Source organism: Homo sapiens, chromosome 12 (genome assembly GCF_000001405.40).
Source record: "Homo sapiens chromosome 12, GRCh38.p14 Primary Assembly".
NCBI classification, from domain to species: domain Eukaryota; kingdom Metazoa; phylum Chordata; class Mammalia; order Primates; family Hominidae; genus Homo; species Homo sapiens.
Window position 1 is genome coordinate 76,721,317 of NC_000012.12, and position 19,126 is coordinate 76,740,442.

Genomic DNA, 19,126 nt, shown 5'->3' on the forward strand with positions numbered 1-19,126 from the left:
ATATAATAAGATATAAATAGAAACAACAAAAAGTTAAAAAGCAGGGAAGGATGAAGTTAAAGTGTAGAGCTTTTATTAGTTTTCTCTTTGCTTGTTAGTTTGTTTTTGCAATCACAGTTAACTTGTCACCAGTGTAAAATAATGGGTTATAAGATGTTATTTGCAAGCCTCATGGTAACCTCAAATAAGAAAACCTACCAGTTTTCCTGCTGGAACCATGGAGGATATCAAAGAGAAGAAGAAGTTTCCTGCTGTGTTAGAATCCCCTCAAAAAAAAGTGAAGGAATTTTGCAGAGCTGAAGATAAAGCACCTGAGAAAGAAGTTTGCCCAAAAGATGCACTGAAAGGCAAGGAGGAAGCTCATCTATGAAAAAGCTAAGTACTATCACAAGGAATATAGGCAAATGTACAGAACTGAGATTTGAATGGCTAGGATGACAAGAAAAGCTAGCAACTTCTATGTTCCTGCAAAGCCCAAATTGGCATTTGTCAGCAGGATTAGAGGTATCAATGGTGTGAGCCCAAAGGTCTGAAAAGCATTGCAGCTTCTTCACCTTCTTCATATTTTCAATGGAAGCGTTGCTAAGCTTAACAAGGTTTCAATTAATATGCTGAGGATGGTAGGACCATATATTACCCAAACCTGAAGTCAGTAAGTGAACAGTAAGGAAGTCAGTAGATGTCAGCAATCTACAAGTGTGGTCATGGCACATTCAATAAGTGGGCTGTCTTGACAGATAACACTTTGATTGCTTGATATTTTGGTAAATATGGCATCATCTGCATGGAGGATCTGATTCATGAGATCGATGCTATTGGAAAATGCTTCCAAGAAGCAAATAACTTTCTGTGGCCTTTCAAATTATACTCTCCATGAGCTGGAATGACGAAAAAGACCACCCATTTCATAGAAGGTGGAGATACTGGCCACAGAGAAGACCAGACCAACAAGTTTATTATAAAGATGAATTAAGGTGACTATCATGCTTATGTTTGTAATCTGATTAGTTAATAAATAATGACTACTTTCAAATTGAAAAAAATACTACAATAAGTACACAAAAAAATAAAAAACAAGAAATTAAAACATGCCACCAGAGAAAACTGCTTTCACAGAAAGGAAGAAGAAAAGAAGGAAGGAAGGGAGGGAGGGAGGGAGGGAGGGAGGGAGGGAAAGAAAACCAGAAAGCAAATAACAAAATGGCAGGAGTAAGTCTTATCAATAATAACTTTGACTATAAATGGACTAAATTCTCTAATCAAAAGACATACAGTGGATAAATGGTTAAAAAAAAACCAACAAGACCCAATGATCTGTTGCCTATAAGAAACACACTTCACCTATTAAGACACACATAGACTGAAAATAAAGGAACAGAAAAAGATATCCCATGTCAGTGGAAACCAAGAAAAGAGCAGGAGTAACTATACTTATATCAGACAAAATAGATTTCAAGACAAAAACTGTAAGAAGAGACAAAGAGATCACTATATAATGATAAAGGAGTCAATTCAGCAAGAGCATATAACAATTGTAAATATATATATATGTGTATATATATGTGTGTGTATATATATGTGTGTATATATATGTGTGTGTGTATATATGTGTGTGTATATATATATGTATATATATGTGTGTGTGTATATATATATATGTGTGTATATATATATGTGTGTGTGTGTATATATATATATATATATATATATATATATATATATATATATATATATATACATACACTCAACACTGGAGCATCCAGATATATAAAGGAAATATTATGAGCACTAAAGAGAGAGATACATTCCAATACAATAATAGTTGGAGATTTGAACACCTTACTTTCAGCATTGGGTAGATCATCCAGACAGAAAATCAACAAATAAACATAGGACTTAATCAGCCCTATAGAACAAATGAACCTAAAATATATTTACAGAACATTTCATCCAATGGATACAGAATACAAATTCTTCTCCTCAGTACATGGACCATTTTCTTTTATTTTGACACAGGGTCTTGCTCTGTTGCCCAAGCTGGAGTGCAACAGCACAATCATAGCTCACTGCAGCCTCTATCTCCCAGACTCAAGCCATCTTCCCACCTCAGCCTCCCAAGCAGCTGAGACTACAGGTACATGCCACCATGTCCATTATTTTATTTTTGTAGACATAGCATCTCACTTTGTTGCCTGGGCTGGTCTCAAACTCCTGGGCTCAAGTGATCTCCTGCCTCAGCCTCCCAAAGTGCTAGAATTGTAGATGTGAGCCAGCATGCCTGACTTGGATCATTCTTAAGGACAGATCATATGTTAGGCCATAAAACAAGTCTTGAAAAATTCAAAAAAACAAGAACAAAAAATCCCAGAGAGGCCTCTGATACACAGATTAGATACTTACATGCATACCAGATATAAGATACAAGATGTGTGTGTGTGTGTGTTTGTATAATTATCTATAAAATGAAAAAAATTGACAATATGTGAACTGGAGATTTCAGCAGATAAATGAAAACTAAAAAAAAAATCAAATGAAATGCTAGAAATAAAAAATACGATATCAAAGAATTCATTCCATGGGCTTAACAGCAGTCTTGACACAATAATATCAAGGATTGTTAATAGGCCAAAGAAAGGATCACTGAACTTGAAGCCATTTGGGTCAATAGATAATAGACATTACCAAATTAAAACACAAAAAGGAAAAAAGATTAAAATAAAGACTATAATATCCAAGACTTTTGGAACAATATCGATGCTCTAAAACATGTAATTGGAGCCCAAGAAGGATAGATGAAGGAGTGTAAGAATTTCCAATGACTTCTCAAAAATTTTGAAAGATATCATCTTATATCAAGAAGCTTAACCAACCACAGGCAAGACAAACACAAAGAAAACACACATATGTATATTATAGTCAAACTATAATATCTTTAAAGTGTAGAAAGAGGCTGGGCGTGGCAGCTTACACCTGTAACCCCAGCACTTTGGGAGGCCAAGGCGGATCACCTGAGTTCAGGAGTTCGAGACCAGCCTGCCCAACATGGTGAAACCTCATCTCTACTACAAATACAAAAAATTAGCCTGGAGTGGTGGCACAGGCCTGTAGTCCCAGCTGCTTGGGAGGCTGAGGCAGGAGAAATGCTTGAACCTGGTAAGTGGAGGTTGCAGTGAGCCAAGATCTTGGCACTGCACTCCAGCCTGGGTGACAGAGTGAGACTCTGTCTCAAAAATAAATAAATAAATAAATAAATACATAAAATGCAGAAAGAAAAAAAGTCAACCGAGAATACACCAAAATATCTCTAAAAAGTAAAACAAGGTCGGGCATGGTGGCTCACACCTGTAATCCCAGCATTTTGGGAGGCTGAGGAGGGTAGATCACTTGATGCCAGGAGTTGGAGACCAGCCTGGCCAACATGGTGAAACCCCATCTATACTAAAATACAATAATTAGTCAGGCGTGGTGGTGCACATCTGTGATCCCAGTTACTCGGAAGGCTGAGGCAGGAGAATCGCTTAAACTCGGGAGGCAGTGGTTGCAGTGAGCCAAGATTGCACCACTGCACTCAAGCCTGGGCAACAGAGTGAGATCCTACCTCAAAAAATAAAATAAAATAAAATAAAATAATAATATAAAACAAAACAAAATAAAGACATTTTCAAATAAAAAGAGAGAATTTGTTGGCAGTTGACTTAAACTACAAGCAATGCTAAAAGAAATTATTTGGTCTAGAGGGGAATCATATCAGATAAAAGCCAGACCATCTATTTATATTTCATATATGCTTATATGTTCATGTAATATACATAGATAGATAGATAGATAGATAGATAGATAGATAGATGATAGATAGATAGATAGATAGATAGATGATAGATAGATAGATAGATAGAGAGAGAGAGAGAGCGCAAGAGAATGAAAGAGAGAGACATAGACTGACAGATAGACTTCTGGAATCTGCAAGAACTGGCAGAAAAATATTATAGAAAATAAGGTCCCATTTATAAGGGCAAGAAAAAAAACACAAAGTAATTTACAGAATCCTCCCAAGAGTGGTATAAAGTCATTATAAATTCAATTTAGGTATCAGCAGGGGTCCCCCTACCCTGGAATACTGAGTTTCAGATATGATTGGCTCAAATTCTCATTCGCAGGCCCTGAATTTTTGTTCTATTCTCTGCATGATTTTGTGTATTCCTTTATCTCAGCTTGGCACAAGCTGGGTTATAACCCATGCTTTCTGTTCCCTTCTCCCTTCCGAAATTAATCTTGAATAAAAAACTGTACCAAGTAGCAGAAATTTTACTGATGATTTCAAATAACTGAAAATGAATTGTAGAACATTCTTGTTATAAAAAGTCTCTTGTTCATTCCACCAAAGTTTTATCACTGTCCACTTCACCCATGTGCCACTCATCCTTCCACCATCACACAAGCTTCTCTTTTGGCTTTACCATCTTTCTGATTATTTTTTCTCTTCTGTTCTCATTTAAGAAATAAAGCAAACTTTTCTGATGTTCTCATACAGAGCAACTTAGCCTCCCTTCTCATTGCTTTGGTTCCTGGGAACAGTTTCATCTTCCTCCCAGAGTGGCTTCAGTGCATAACTCCAGAGGACTTGTTTACGTTGTAGCCCATGTAAATGGTGCACCAAGCGTTGTGCAGTGCACAGACTGAACAACACTGTGTAGAGGCCCTACCTCTACCTTATTGAGGTATTTTTCTAATCAAAGACTGTTTTGGTCCTAGTTATTATGCGAATAATCTCTCACTTATATTACATAGAAGATCTACAAAAACTTTTTGGGATATTGAAAAAGACCGAATGAGTGAAAAGCTATAAAGCTATGCTGTACATTTGGACAGGAAGTCTAATATTATGAAAATGTCTGTTCTTTCCTAATTACTCCTGGATGTCATAAATTCTAATTAAGATGTAAACAGGTTTTTCTATTTCTTTGGTTTATGACAACAACTTTATAATATATTTGAAAAAATGAATAGGAGAGATAGCAAAAATAAATCTTAAAAAAAGAATATTAAACCCTATAATGAGCACTAACACATCTCTTTGTCAGCTATATAGTTATCTTATTAACCTGCTTCCTCTGTCTATCATCTATATATCTACCTACCTGCCTATCTATCTCTTTTTTGTCTATTTTTATGGACATCTGAAGCATTTTTTTTCTTTCCCTTCCTTCAGGAGAAGGGCATCATCGCCCCCAACACGCATCCCACGTGGTTTTCGTGGAGCTGCCAATCATAAGACTTCACTCCCTGGCCTAAGAGTGGACTTGCTATATAGGCTGCCCACTCCAAAGTAAACCATACTTTTGATCATAATGATTGGTCCAGGGATAAGTACATAACAAGTCACTCAGAAAATTTTCCCTGGAAATCTTCAAAATGAAGCTGAGAATATATACTCTTTTTTGGAAAAAATGACTGGGATGATATAAGCCCAAGCTGCTGGCAGGTAGGTTTTCTATCAGTGGAAAAAGCCCATCTGTTATAGGAGAGAATGAAGTCAAGCAGAAGTAAGCAAACATGAGAGGGTGAGAGAGAAAATCCTAGAGATATTGAATCCCAGCTTGAATTTCTGAAGCCCTACAATCTCTTGGGTCTTCTTTAAAGTTCTTTTCCCAATTCTTGAAACTTCCCTAATATACTTTTAGTAATATAAACATAGATCTATAGATATGGATATAACTAAAGGGAAAATTCTGTCTCTCTTCTGCTCTCCTCCTCCTATTTAATACCCAAAGCAAGAAAGGAAGAGATACCATTCTGATTGGCCAAGATCCCAGACAAGTTTTAGGATTCTCATTTACTGTTGGATGGTTTCACTCTCATCTAATGGTAGTGGTTATGGTGTTCATGATAATAGAGGTGATAAGAGTATTGGTATTTGTTATAGTGGCAACAGCAGCAACTCTGCTCCTGAGTGTGCCAGAAGGTGCTTAGATATACTGAAGTTTCTTTAGGTATTAAAGTCTTCTGGGCTTGAAGTGGGGCTCATGGCTCAGGAAAGAAGATGGTATAGAATTGGTAGGGAATAATATATTCTGAGCAGGCAAATGACATGAGTTATTTTATGCAAACTCTCCAAAGTCCTCCTCAACCAGGAATAATAGAATTCCCTCTCTTTGGAGGAAATCTAGAGGCACCCCATCTTGGCTTTGAGTTATGTGAATTCTACAGTTACGTATTTCTCTAGGTTATCCTATGTTAGCCAAGTATATAAGGCCCCGCTCAGTGTACCATACATTGAGACAGCTCAAGATTCCCATTCTTATTCTCCCCAGCATGGTTTTCTGCTATTCCCTCTGATTCATGTCACCTGAATATTTTATCCTCTCCCTTCATTTAGGGAGTTTGTACAAGTCTCTAAGGAGTCTTTCTTCTGTCACTCATCTATTGATCCATCCATTTAACCAAATCTGTATTTAATAAGAACCTACTATGTGGCAATCACTGCAATAATTGTATCCCAGGAGCTTTTAGCTTGGTAGGAAGACAGACATGGAAACCAACAACTGCTATACCCAGTTATTTGCAGGGCCTTGATATGGTTGGTCCAGAGATCCTTCCTCAGTTATCTCAGCATTTCCAGCATCTTCTTTCCTGTGTTCTGTATCCAATACCCTTTTAGGGATATAGCAGAGGACACTTAGTTTATTCTTCTAGTCATAGGCAAAATCTAGCAAGGAAAAGAAATAAAAATATTTTACCTCAGAATACATTTCTCGACTGGGCATGGTGGCTCACACCTGTAATCCCAGCACTTTGGGAGGCTGAGGCGGGTGGATCACTTGATATCAGAAGTTCGAGACCAGCCTGGCCAACATGGGGAAACCAAGTCTGGAAGAAATATTTTTGTAAAAATACAAAAATTAGCTGGTGTAGTGGCGCACACCTGTAATTCCAGCTACTCTGGAGGCTAAGGCAGGAAAATCACTTGAACCCGGGATGTTACAGGTGCAGTGAGCTGAGATCACACCACTGCACTCCAAACTGGGTGTCAGAGTGAGACTCCGTCTCAAAAACATATATATCTATATCTATATGTATATCTATATATACTTATATATTATATATACTTACATATATTATAAATATACTTATATATAATATGTATACACTTATATATTATATATGTCTATATATATTATACATATATAATATTCTGTATGTTATGGCTTCTATACCATCTTCTTTCCTGAGTCATTAGCCCCGCTTCAACCTCAGAAGACTTTAATACCTAAAGAAACTTCAGGATGTCTAAGCATCTTCTGGCACATATATATATATATTTCTTTGACATATTTTGAGATGGCTGTTCAGAGGGCCAACAAACAGAAGTAGTTAAGCTGTCTTCTGCAGGGCAGATTTGCATCTGTAGAGAATCTGCATTGATGTAGCCGGGCCTTCCCTTGTTCAGATCTAGGAAGGATTAATGGAGAGTCTGACACCTTTAAAAGTCTGGAAGAAATATTTAGCATCATTTACCCTCTCTGAGGGCTGTTACCTGTGAGGTTTCATCTACGTAGCAAGACCACCTTTGCTGGCCAAGCCTCCTCTTCTTTCCCTCCCATAACCTGTCTAGCCACCATAACCTGGTTTGCCATCACAGCCTGTTTTTGATCATGCTCTGAGCCCTCATTCTTTCTGTAACCTCAAGATGGTATATAAGCTTCTGCACCCCATTGAGGATTGGGAATAATCACTCTGTGTTTCTCCACCCTGTGTATGTTAATAAATTTGTATGCCTTTTCTCCAACTAATCTGCCTTTTGTGAGTTAAGTTTTAGTGAAATTTCAGGAGGGTAAAGGGGAAGCTTTTCCTTGGCCCCTATACAACTTATACTCCCCTTATTTCCCTGCTTCCAATGCAGGAGAAGTACAACTGCCCCCACTATAACACGTAATGTTTTCCTCTGTACACACAGCATACATAGTACCAAGACCCCTGTCCATTACTCCAAATGACCCAGCTTTCTGTAGGGCAGAGACAGGAAGTGGGGAAAATTCCATAGCCCTGGCCCTGCAAAATAGCTTCTACTGTCCTTTCAAAGATGGCAATAGAAGAACAATAGGAGAATATATGGAATTGGAGACAAGGTATAGAAGTAGCTTCACTGTTGGCTTTTAAAAATAAATTTCAGGCTGGGCTCGGTAGCTCACGCCTGTAATCCCAGTACTGTGAGAGGCCAAGGCAGGTTTATCGCCTCAACTCAGGAGTTCGAGACCAGCTTGGACAACATGGCAAAACTCCGTCTCTACTAAAAATACAAAAAAAGAAAAAGAAAAAATGGCTGGGCATGGTGCCGCATGCCTGTAGTCCCAGCTACTGGGGAGGCTGAGGTGGGAGGATTGCTTCAGCCCAGTAGGAGAGAGAGGTTTCAGTTAGCCGAGATTGTGCTACTAGCCTGGGTGACAGAGTGAGATCCTGTCTCAAGAAAAAAAAAAATAGATATACGTACACACACACACACACACACACACACATATATAATCACATACGGTAAACCTTATCTCATAATATAAAACTGAGTTTAGTAGTTCATTTACATTACTACTTGTATTATCTATATAGATAAAAAGTGACCAAGCTTTACATTTCACTTTTTTTTTGAGACAGGGTCTCGTTCTGTCACCCAGGTGGAGTGCAACAGTACGATCTCGGCTCACTACATCCTCAACCTCCTGGGCTGAAGCAATCCTTCCACCTCAACCTCCCGAGTAGCTGGGACTACAGGTATGCACCTCCACACCCAACTAATTTTTAAAAATTTTTGTGGAGACGGGCTCTCCCTATGTAGCCGAGCTACCCTTGAACTCCTGGGCTCAAGCTAACCTCCCACCTCAGCCTCCTAAAGTTCTGGGATTATAGGTATAAGCCACCATGCCCGGCCTAAATTTCACTTTTCTAGACTTTTATCTGTGCTACTTTTGTACCTCAATTCATTGTCATCTTAAAATACCACCCACAGTGACATGTAAGCTTTAATTACCAGTTAATTTTACAGTAGAGTTTAATTGTATTTTAGATTGTTTTACAGATTGTGTAGTAATGCAAAATTGTGACTGAATTAAAAATATTTTATTATAAAAGTAGTGTATGTTTGTATAAATAGAAATAGTTGAGAATAAAAAGAAATTGTCCTGTTTTTTTTCTTCTCATTTAAATTCCACTCCCAGGAGTCACAACAATTTCATATGTATCATTACAGATGTTTAGGCATGTACAATATTTCCCCACAAATTGACTTATGGTACACACACACACACACACACACACACAAAATCTTGTAACTAGCATTCTCTACTTAACAATCTGTTGATGCCAAGTAGATATTTCACAGTATGAAACACTGTAATATATTTCATTGTCTCTGGACTACAATTAAAATGATTTTAGATTTTCACTATTACAAATACTGCTATAATAAATAACTTTGTAATATATGTTCTTGCATGCTTATGTGATATATCTGTACGGTAAATTTATAGAAATGGAATTGCTGGGTCAAAGAGCAGGTGTATTTGAAATTTGGATAAATACTATGAGAATGCCATCCAAAATGCTTGTGCCAACCTGTGCTCTTACCAGCAGCATGTGTCGGAGAGTGTTTTTAATCTTTGCCAATCTGGCAGTAAAACATGACATAACATTGTTATTTTAATATGTTTTTATTTAATCAAAAATGTGATCTAGCACTTTATCAGATATTTATTAACCATTCATTTTTTTTCTGAACTGTATTTTTTTTCTGGCTGGATTTTTTTGTATTGCAGATAATTTCCAAGAAAGAATATATATAATTTTGAATTTGACATTACAATGCCTGTATTTTTTTTTCAAGATGGAGTCTCGCTCTGTCGCCAGGCTGTAGTGCAGTGGCACGATCTAAGCTCACTGCAACCTCTGCCTCCCAGGTTCAAGTGATTCTCCTGCCTCAGCCTCCTGAGTAGCTGGGATTACAGGCACATGCCACCACACCCGGCTAATTTTTTGATTTTTAGTAGAGACGGGGGTTTCACCATGTTGGTCAGGCTGGTCTTGAACTCCTGACCTCGTGATCTGCCTGCCTCAACCTCCCAAAGTGCTGGGATTACAGGCGTGAGCCAACGCACCCGGCCTTTTTTTTTTTTTTTTTTTTTTTTTTTTTTTTGAGACAGAGTCTCACTGTGTTGCCCAGGCTGGAGTGCAGTGGTGCGATCTCGGCTCACTGCAACCTCCGCCTCCTGGGTTCAAGCGATTGTCCTGCCTCAGCCTCCCAAGTAGCTGGGATTACAGGCGCCTGCCACCATGCCCGGCTAATTTTGGTAATTTTAATAGAGATGGGGTTTCACCACGTTGGCCAGGATGGTCTCAAACTCCTGAACTCAAGTGATCCACCTGCCCCAGCCTCCCAAAGTGCTGGGATTACAGGTGTGAGCCACCGCACCCAGCTAATGCCTGAAATTTTTAAAGACAGCAATTAAGTTTAGAACTAGATTGTTGCCAAGTTCAAATATAATGAAAAAGTGATTTTTGATATGAGAAAAGATATTCAGTTCATCTGGGTCCCCATGGAGCCTCCCCTTTTCCACAATGCAAAGTGGCAGTCTACTTGCATCTGCATTGTCATTCTTAAAACCCAGAACTAGAGTCTCAGAGATTGGCATCCTCTTTAAACTCACATTATCTTTCTTTTGTTATATTTATTTTATTTTATTTTTCCATTAAGTTATTAGGGTACAGGTGGTATTTGGTTACATGAGTAAGTTCTTTAGTGGTGATTTGTGAGATTATGGGGTACCCATCACCCAAGCAGTATACACTGCACCATATTTGAGTCTTTTATCCCTAGCCTCCCACCCACTCTTCCCCCCTAGCCCCCAAAGTCCATTGTATCATTCTTATGCCTTTGCATCCTCATAACTTATATCCCCCACATATCAGTGAGAACATAGAGTGTTTGGTTTTCCAATCCTGAGTTACATCACTTAGAATAATAGTCTTTAATCTCATCCAGGTCACTGCAAATGCTGTTAATTCATTCCTTTTTATGGCTGCGTAGTATTCCATTGCATATATATACCACAGTTTCTTTTTTTTTTTTTTTTGAGACTGAGTCTTGCACTGTCACCCAGTCTGGAGTGCAGTGGTGTGATCTTGGCTCACTGCAACCTCTGCCTCCCAGGTTCAAGCAATTCTCCTGCCTCAGCCTCCCGAGTGGCTGGGATTACAGGCGCCCACCACCATGCCAGCTAATTTTTTTTTCTTTTTTTTTGTATTTTTAGTAGAGACAGGATTTCACTATGTTGACCAGGCTGGTCTCGAACTCCTGACCTCGTGATCTGCTCGCCTCGGCCTCCCAAAGTGCTGGGATTATAGGTGTGAGCCACCACACCAGGCCATACCACAGCTTCTTTATCCACTCATTGATTATTGGGCATTTGGGTTGGTGCCATGATTTCACAATTGTGAATTGTGCTACTATAAACATGCATGTGCAAGTATCTTTTTCGAATAATGACTTCTTTTCCTCTGGGTGGATTCCCAGTAGTGGGATTGCTGGATCAAATGGTAATTCTACTTTTAGTTCTTTAAGGAATGTCCACACTGTTTTCCACAGTGGTTGTACTAGTTTACATTCCCCGCAGCAGTGTAGAAGTGTTCCCTCTTCACTGCATCCATGCCAACACTACTGTGTTTTTTATTATGGCCATTCTTGCAGGAGTGAGGTGGTATCTCATTGTGGTTTTGATTTGCATTTTCCTGATCATTAGTGATGTTGAGCATTTTTTCATGTTTGTTGGCCATTTGTATATCTTTTGAGAATTGTCTATTCATGTCCTTAGCCCACTTTTCAATGGGATTTTTTTTTTCTTACTGATTTGTTTGAGTTCATTGTAGATTCTGGATATTAGTCCTTTGTCAGATGTATAGATTCTGAAAATTTTCTCCCACTCTGTGAGTTGTATGTTTACCCTGCTGACTTCCTTTTGCTGTGTAAAAGCTCTTTAGTTTAATTAGGTCCCAGCTATTTATCTTTGTTTTTATTGCATTCGCTTTTGGGTTCTTGGTCATGAAATCCTTGCCTAAGTCAATGTCTAGAAGGGTTTTTCCAATGTTATGTTCCAGAATTTTTATAGTTTCATGTCTTAGGTTTAAGTCCTTAATTCATCTTGAGTTGATTTCTGTATAAGGTGAGAGATGAGGATCTTTACATTATTGTTTGGTTTATCGAAGATCAGTTGGCTGTAAATATTTGGGTTTATTTCTGTGTTCTCTATTCTGTTCCATTGGTCTATGTGCCTACTTTTATACCGGTACCACACTGTTTTGGTGACTATGGCCTTATAGTATAGTTTGAAATCAGGTAGTGTGATGCCTCCAGATTTGTTCTTTTTGCTTAGTCTCAGTTTGGCTATGCAGGCTCTTTTTTGGTGCCATATGAATTTTAGAATTGTTTTTTGTAATTCTGTGAAGAATGATGGTGGTATTCTGATGGGGATGGTGTTGAATTTGTAGATTGCTTTTGGCAGGATGATCATTTTCACAATATTGATTCTACCCATCCATGAGCACGGGATGTGTTTCCATTTGTTTGTGTCATCTAGGATTTCTTTCAGAAGTGTTTTGTAGTTTTCCTTGCAGAGGTCTTTCGACTCCTTTGTTAGGTATATTCCTAAGTATTTTATTTTATTTTTGCAGCTATTGTAAAAGGGGTTGCGTTCTTGATTTGATTCTCTGCTTGGTTGCTGTTGGTGTATAGAAGAGCTACTGATTTGTGTACATTAATCTTGTATCCACAAACTTTGATGAGTTCTTTTATCAGTTCTAGAAGCTTTCTAGAGGAGTCCTTCGCGTTTTCAAGGTAAACGATCATATTGTCAACAAACAGTGACAGTTTGACTTCCTCTTTACTAATTTGGAGGTCCTTTATTTCTTTCTCTTGTCTGATTGCTCTGGCTAGGACTTCCAGTACTATGTTGAAGAAGAGTGGTGAGAGTGGGTATCCTTGTCCTGTTCCAGTTCTCAGCAGGAATATTTTCATCTTTTCCCTATTCAGTATTATGTTGGCTGTGAGTTTGTCATAGATGGCTTTTATTACATTAAGGTATGTCCCTGGTTTGCTGATTTTGCTGAGGGTTTTAATCATAAAGAGATGCTGGATTTTGCCAAATGCTTTTTCTGCATCTACTGAGATGATCATGTGACTTTTATTTTTAATTCTGTTTGCGTGATGTATCACATTTATTGACTTGCATGTGTTAAACCATCCCTGCCTCCCTGGTATGAAACCCACTTGATCATGGTGAATTATCTTTTTGATATGTTGTTGGATTTGGTTAGCTAGCATTTTGTTAAGGATTTTAGCATCTATGTTCATCAAGGATATTGGTCTGTAGTTTTCTTTTTTGATTATGTCCTTTCCTGGTTTTAGTATTAGGGTTGTGCTGACTTTATAGGATGAATTAGGGAGGGTTCCTTCTTTCTCTATCTTGTAGAATAGTATCAAAAGGATTGGTACCAATTCTTTGAACGTCTGGTAGAATTCTGCTGTGAATCCAACCGGGCCTGGACTTTTTTTTTGTTGGTAATTTTTTAATTACCATTTCAATCTCACTGCTTGTTATTGGTCTGTTCAGGGTATTTAATTCTTCCTGGTTTAAGCTAGGAGGGTTGTATTTTTCCAGGAATTTATCCATCTCTTCTAGGTTTTCTAGTTTATGTGCGTAAAGATGTTCATAGTAGCCTTGAATGATCTTTTGTATTTCAGTATTGTCAGTTGTAATATCTCCTGTTTCATTTCTTAGTGAGGTTATTTGGATTTTTGTTGTGGGAAGTCAGGGACCCCGAACAGAGGGACTGGCTGAAGCCATGGCAGAAGAATGTGGATTGTGAAGATTTCATGGACATTTATTAGTTCCCCAAATTAATACTTTTATAATTTCTTACACCTGTCTTTACTACAGTCTCTGAACATAAATTGTGAAGATTTCATGGACACTTATCACTTCCCCAGTCAATACCCTTGTGATTTCCTATGCCTGTCTTTACTTTAATCTCTTAATCCCATCATCTTCATAAGATAAGGAGGATGTATGTTGCCTCAGGACCCTGTGATGATTGCGTTAACTGCACAAATTGTTTGTAGAGCATGTGTGTTTGAACAATATGAAACCTGGGCACCTTGAAAAAAGAACAGGATAACAGCAATGTTCAGGGAACAAGAGAGATAACCTTAAACTCTGACCGCCAGTGAGCCAGGCGGAACAGAGCCATATTTCTCTTCTTTCAAAAGCAAATGGGAGAAATATCTCAGAATTCTTCTTCTCAGCAAGGAACATCCCTGAGAAAGAGAATGCGTCCCTGAGGGTAGGCCTCTAAAATGGCCGCTTTGGGGGGCGGCATCTTTTATGGTCGAAGCTGTAGGGATGAAATAAGCCCCAGTCTCCTGTAGCGCTCCCAGGCTTATTAGGACGAGGAAATTCACGCCTAATAAATTTTGGTCAGACTGGTTGTCTGCTCTCAAACCCTGTCTCCTGATAAGATGTTATCAATGACAATGCATGCCCAAAACTTCATTAGCAATTTTAATTTCGCCCTGGTCCTGTGGCCCTGTGATCTCGCCCTCCTCCATTTGCCTTGTGATATTCTATTACCTTGTGAAGCACATGATGTCTGTGACCCACACCCTATTTGTACACTCCCTCCCCTTTTGAAAATCACTAATAAAAACTTGCTGGTTTTGCAGCTTGTGGGGCATCACAGAACCTGCCAACATGTGATGTCTCCCCTGGACACCCAGCTTTAAAATTTCTCTCTTTTATACTCTTTCCCTTTATTTCTCAGACTGGCCGACACTTAGGGAAAATAGAAAAGAAACTACATGAAATATCGGGGGTGAATTTCGCCGTATATCTGGCTGAATTTCCCCTGATAGATTTTTCTCTCTTCTTTTCTTGATTAATCTTGCTAGTGGTCTAACAATTTCATTTATCTTTCCAAAGAACCAATTTTTTGTTTCATTTACCTTTGTATTTTTTTTTTGTTTCAATTTCATTTAGTTCTGCTCCAATCTTGGTTATTTCCTTTCTTCTGCTGGGTTTGGTTTGCTCTTGTTTCTGTAGTTCCTTGACATGTGACCCTAGATTGTCTGTTTGTGCTCTTTCAGGCTTTTTGATGTAGGCATTTAGGCCCAAAAACTTTCCTCTTAGCACCACCTTTGCTGTATCCTAGAGGCTTTGATAAGCTGTGTCATTATTGTCATTCAGTTTGAATAATTTTTAAATTTCCATCTTAATTTCATTTTTGACCCAATGCTCATTCAGGAGCACGTTATTTAATTTCCATGTATTTGCATGGTTTTTTTTTTTTTTGAAGTTGCTTTCCAGTTTTATTCCACTGTTGTCTGAGAGAGTGCTTGATATAATTTCAATTTTCTTAAATTTATTGAGGCTCGTTTTATGGCTTATCGTATGGTTTATCTTGGAGAAAGTTCCATGCACTGTTGAATAGAATGTGTATCCTACTTAGGATTGTAATATTTTTCTGTTGGACAAGGCCTTTTACCATTATATACTGTACCTCTTTGTCTCCTTTAACTGCTGTTGCTTTTAAGTTTGTTTTGTCTGATATGAGAATAGCTACCTCTGCTTGCTTTTTGATGTCCATTTGCATGAAATGTCTTTTTCCACCCCTTTACTTTAAGTTTATGTGAGTTTTTATGTGTTAGGTGAGTCTCCTGAAGGCAGCAGATGGTTGGTTGGTGAATTCTTATCCATTCTGTGGTTCTGTGTCTTTTAAGTGGAGCACTTAGGCCATTTACATTCAATATTAGTATTGAAATGTGAGGTACCATTGCTTTCACTGTACTCTTTGTTGCCTATGTACTTTGGTTTTGTTTTTTGTTTTTGCTTTTTAACTTGTATTTTTGTTTTATAGGTCCTGTATGATTTATGCTTTAAAGAAGTTCTGTTTTGATGTGTTTCCAGGATTTGTTTCAAGATTTAGAGCTACTTTTGGCAGTTGTTGTAGTGGTGATTTGGTAATGGCGAATTCTCTCAACATTTGTTTGTGTGAAAATGACTGTATCTTGGCCGGGCACGGTGGCTCACACCTGTAGTCCCAACACTTTGGGAGGCCAAGGTGGGTGGATCATGAGGTCAGGAGATCGAGACCACCCTGGCTAACACGGTGAAACCCCGTCTCTACTAAAAATACAAAAAATTAGCCAGGCGTGGTGGCAGGCGCCTGTAGTCCCAGCTAGTCGGGAGGCTGAGGCAGGAGAATGGTGTGAACCTGGGAGGCAGAGCTTGCAGTGAGCCAAGACCGTGCCACTGTGCTCCAGCCTGGGCGACAGAGCGAGACTCCGTCTCAAAAAAAAAAAAAAGAAAAAGAAAATGACTGTATCTTTCCTTCATGTATGATGCTTAGTTTCACTGGATACAAAATTCTTGGTTGATAATTGTTTTGTTTGAGGAGGCTGAAGATAGATCCCCAATCCCTTCCAGCTTGTAGGGTTTCTGCTGAGAAATCTGCTGTTAATCTTATAGGTTTTCCTTCATAAGTTACCTGGTGCTTCTGTCTCACAGCTCTTAAGATTCTTTCCTTCTTCTTAATTTTGGATAACCTGATGACAATGTGCCTAGGTGAAGATCTTTTTGTGATGAATTTCCCGGGTGTTTTTTGTGCTTCTTGTATTTGGTTGTTTAGGTTTCTTGCAAGGCCAGGGAAGTTTTCCTTGATTATTTTCCCAAATATGTTTTTCAGGCTTTTAGAATTCTCTTCTTCCTCAGGTTCACTGATTATTCTTAGGTTTGGTCGTTTAACATAATCCCAGACTTCTGGAAGGCTTTGTTTATATTTTCTTATTAGTTTTTCTTTGTCTTTGTTGGATTGGGTTAATTTGAAGACCTTGTCTTTGAGCTCTGAATTTTCTTCTTCTACTTATTCAATTCTATTGCTGAGACTTTCCAGGGAATTTTGCATTTTTAAAAGTGTGTCCAAGGTTTCCTGAATTTTTTATTGTTTTTCCTTTAAGCTATGTATTTCCATGAATATTTCTCCCTTCCCTTCTTGTATCATGTTTTGGATTTCCTTGCATTGGGCTTTGCCTTTCTGTGGTCCCTCCCTGATTAGCTTAATAACTAATCTCCTGAATTCTTTTTCAGGTAAATCAGGGATTTCTTCTTGGTTTGGATCCATTGCTGGTGAACTAGTGTAATTTTTGGGGGGTGTTGAAGAGCCTCGTTTTGTCATATTATGAGGGTTGTTTTTCTGGTTCCTTCTCATTTGGGTAGGCTCTGTCAGAGAGAAGATCTAGGGCTGAAGACTGTTGTTCAGATTCTTTTGTCCCACGGTGTGTTCCCTTGTTGTAGTACTTTCCCCCTGTTCTTGTGGATGTGGCTTCCTGTGAGCCAAACTGCAGTGATTGTTGTCTCTCTTCTAGGTCTAGTCACCCAGTAAGTCTATCCAGCCACAGGCTGGTACTGGGGTTGTCTGCACAGAGTCCTGTGATGTGAACTGTCTATGGGTCTCTCAGCCATAGATACAGTGCCTGTTCCAGTGGAGGTGGCGGAGGGTGCAATGGACTCCATGAGAGTCCTTAGCTTTGGTGGCTTAATGCTCTATTTTTGTGCTGATTGGCCTCCTGCCAGTAGGTGGTGTTTTCCAGAAACCGTCAGCTGCAGTAGTGTGGAGAGGGACCGACGGTGGGCAGGGCCCTAGAACTCCCAAGATTATATGCCCTTTGTCTTCCACTACCAGGGTGGATAGGGAAGGACCATCAGGGTGGGGTTAGGTGTGTCTGAGTGCAGACTCTCCTTGGGCAGGTCTTGCTGTGGCTGATGTGGGGGATGGGGGCAAGATTCCCAGGTCACTGGAGTTGTGTACCTAGGAGGATTATGGCTGCCTCTGCTGAGTCATGCAGTTTGTCAGGAAAATGGGGGAAAGCCGGCAGTCATACGCCTCACCCAGCTCTCACACAAACTGAAGGGCTGGTCTCACTCCCACTGTGCCCACCTCAACAACTCCGAGTCTGTTTCCAGGCAGAGGGCAAGACGGGCTTGAAAATTTGCCTGAGGCTATTTGCCTCCCAGCTGTGAAACAAAAGGGCTCTAGTTCTTCCTCTGCCTGTGAAGTCTGCACACCGGATTCTCACCCTCCCCTGGTTCTGGCCAGGAGGCTTCTCACCCCCGTTCAAATTGTTGCAAAGTTCAGCTAGAGATTTCCTTCTCCCTGTGGAGTTTTACCCCCTGCTCCTCTGGCCGCCCTCCTGTTGGATCCCTGTGGTGCCAGGCAGGAATGGGCTGCTTGGGGACCCAGCAAGCTCCCAGGGCCTTTCTGCTGCTTCCTCTATGCCTGTATTTTGCTAGCCTCTCTAACTTGACTCAGCTCCAGGTAAAGTCAGAGACCTCTCAGAAATAGACCTTTAGCTTCTCCAGTGAGGGTGTGTGTTCAGGAGAGGAGGGTCTCCCTTTCCCACTTCTGCAGTTGGGGCACTCACAGTATTTAGGGTGTCTCCCGGGTCCTACAGGAGTAGTCCGCTTCCTTCAGAAGGTCTGTGGGTCCTTTCAGGATTGCTGGTTTGTTCTTACAGTTGATCTGCAGCTAAAATTCACAATGCAAGCCTCCGCGTACTATCTAGTCCTGCCTCCCATCCACCATGATGCCCTGAATCCCCTCACATCATTTTTCAAAAGCGGTACAATAATATGATTTTTTGTAGCTTTAAATCTCAAAAATATAAAAAAGAGAGGATGGTTTGGCTCAATGCCAACAATACGGAAAGCATCTTTTCAGAGGTTATGTAAGAACATAAGAGGTAAGAAACAAAATGATTATGCCATGTGTAAAACTAGAAAGCTGGGAGTGGCCCAGATCTCAGGGGCAGTTGTGAAAAAAACAAAAGATGGTAGTCACATGCAAAGAGAAAATCACTAGTTCTGGGGAGAGTTTAAGTACAGGAATACCACACAAAAATTAAGCGAAAGACCTATTTACCTTTGCTAAAATTCAAAGTAAATTAATCTCCAACATAGAGAAGATCCTTAGTATAACAAACCAACTGTTTTAGTTTTTGTATGCTTGTGGTGGTGGTGGTGGTTTTGGTTGCAAGTGT

The 19,126-nt window shown here is 39.3% G+C and overlaps 1 pseudogene, besides 1 other annotated feature; it reads left to right on the forward strand.

Annotated features, from left to right (window-relative positions):
• On the forward strand, positions 202 to 1,044 carry RPL7P43 (ribosomal protein L7 pseudogene 43; annotated as a pseudogene).
• Positions 17,611 to 18,112: an enhancer, noted in NCBI's record as "H3K27ac hESC enhancer chr12:77132707-77133208 (GRCh37/hg19 assembly coordinates)". NCBI's record gives its function as "activates a minimal SCP1, AML or CMV promoter by ChIP-STARR-seq in primed H9 embryonic stem cells {active_cell/tissue: H9 hESC(primed)}" and the evidence as "EXISTENCE:reporter gene assay evidence [ECO:0000049][PMID:30033119]".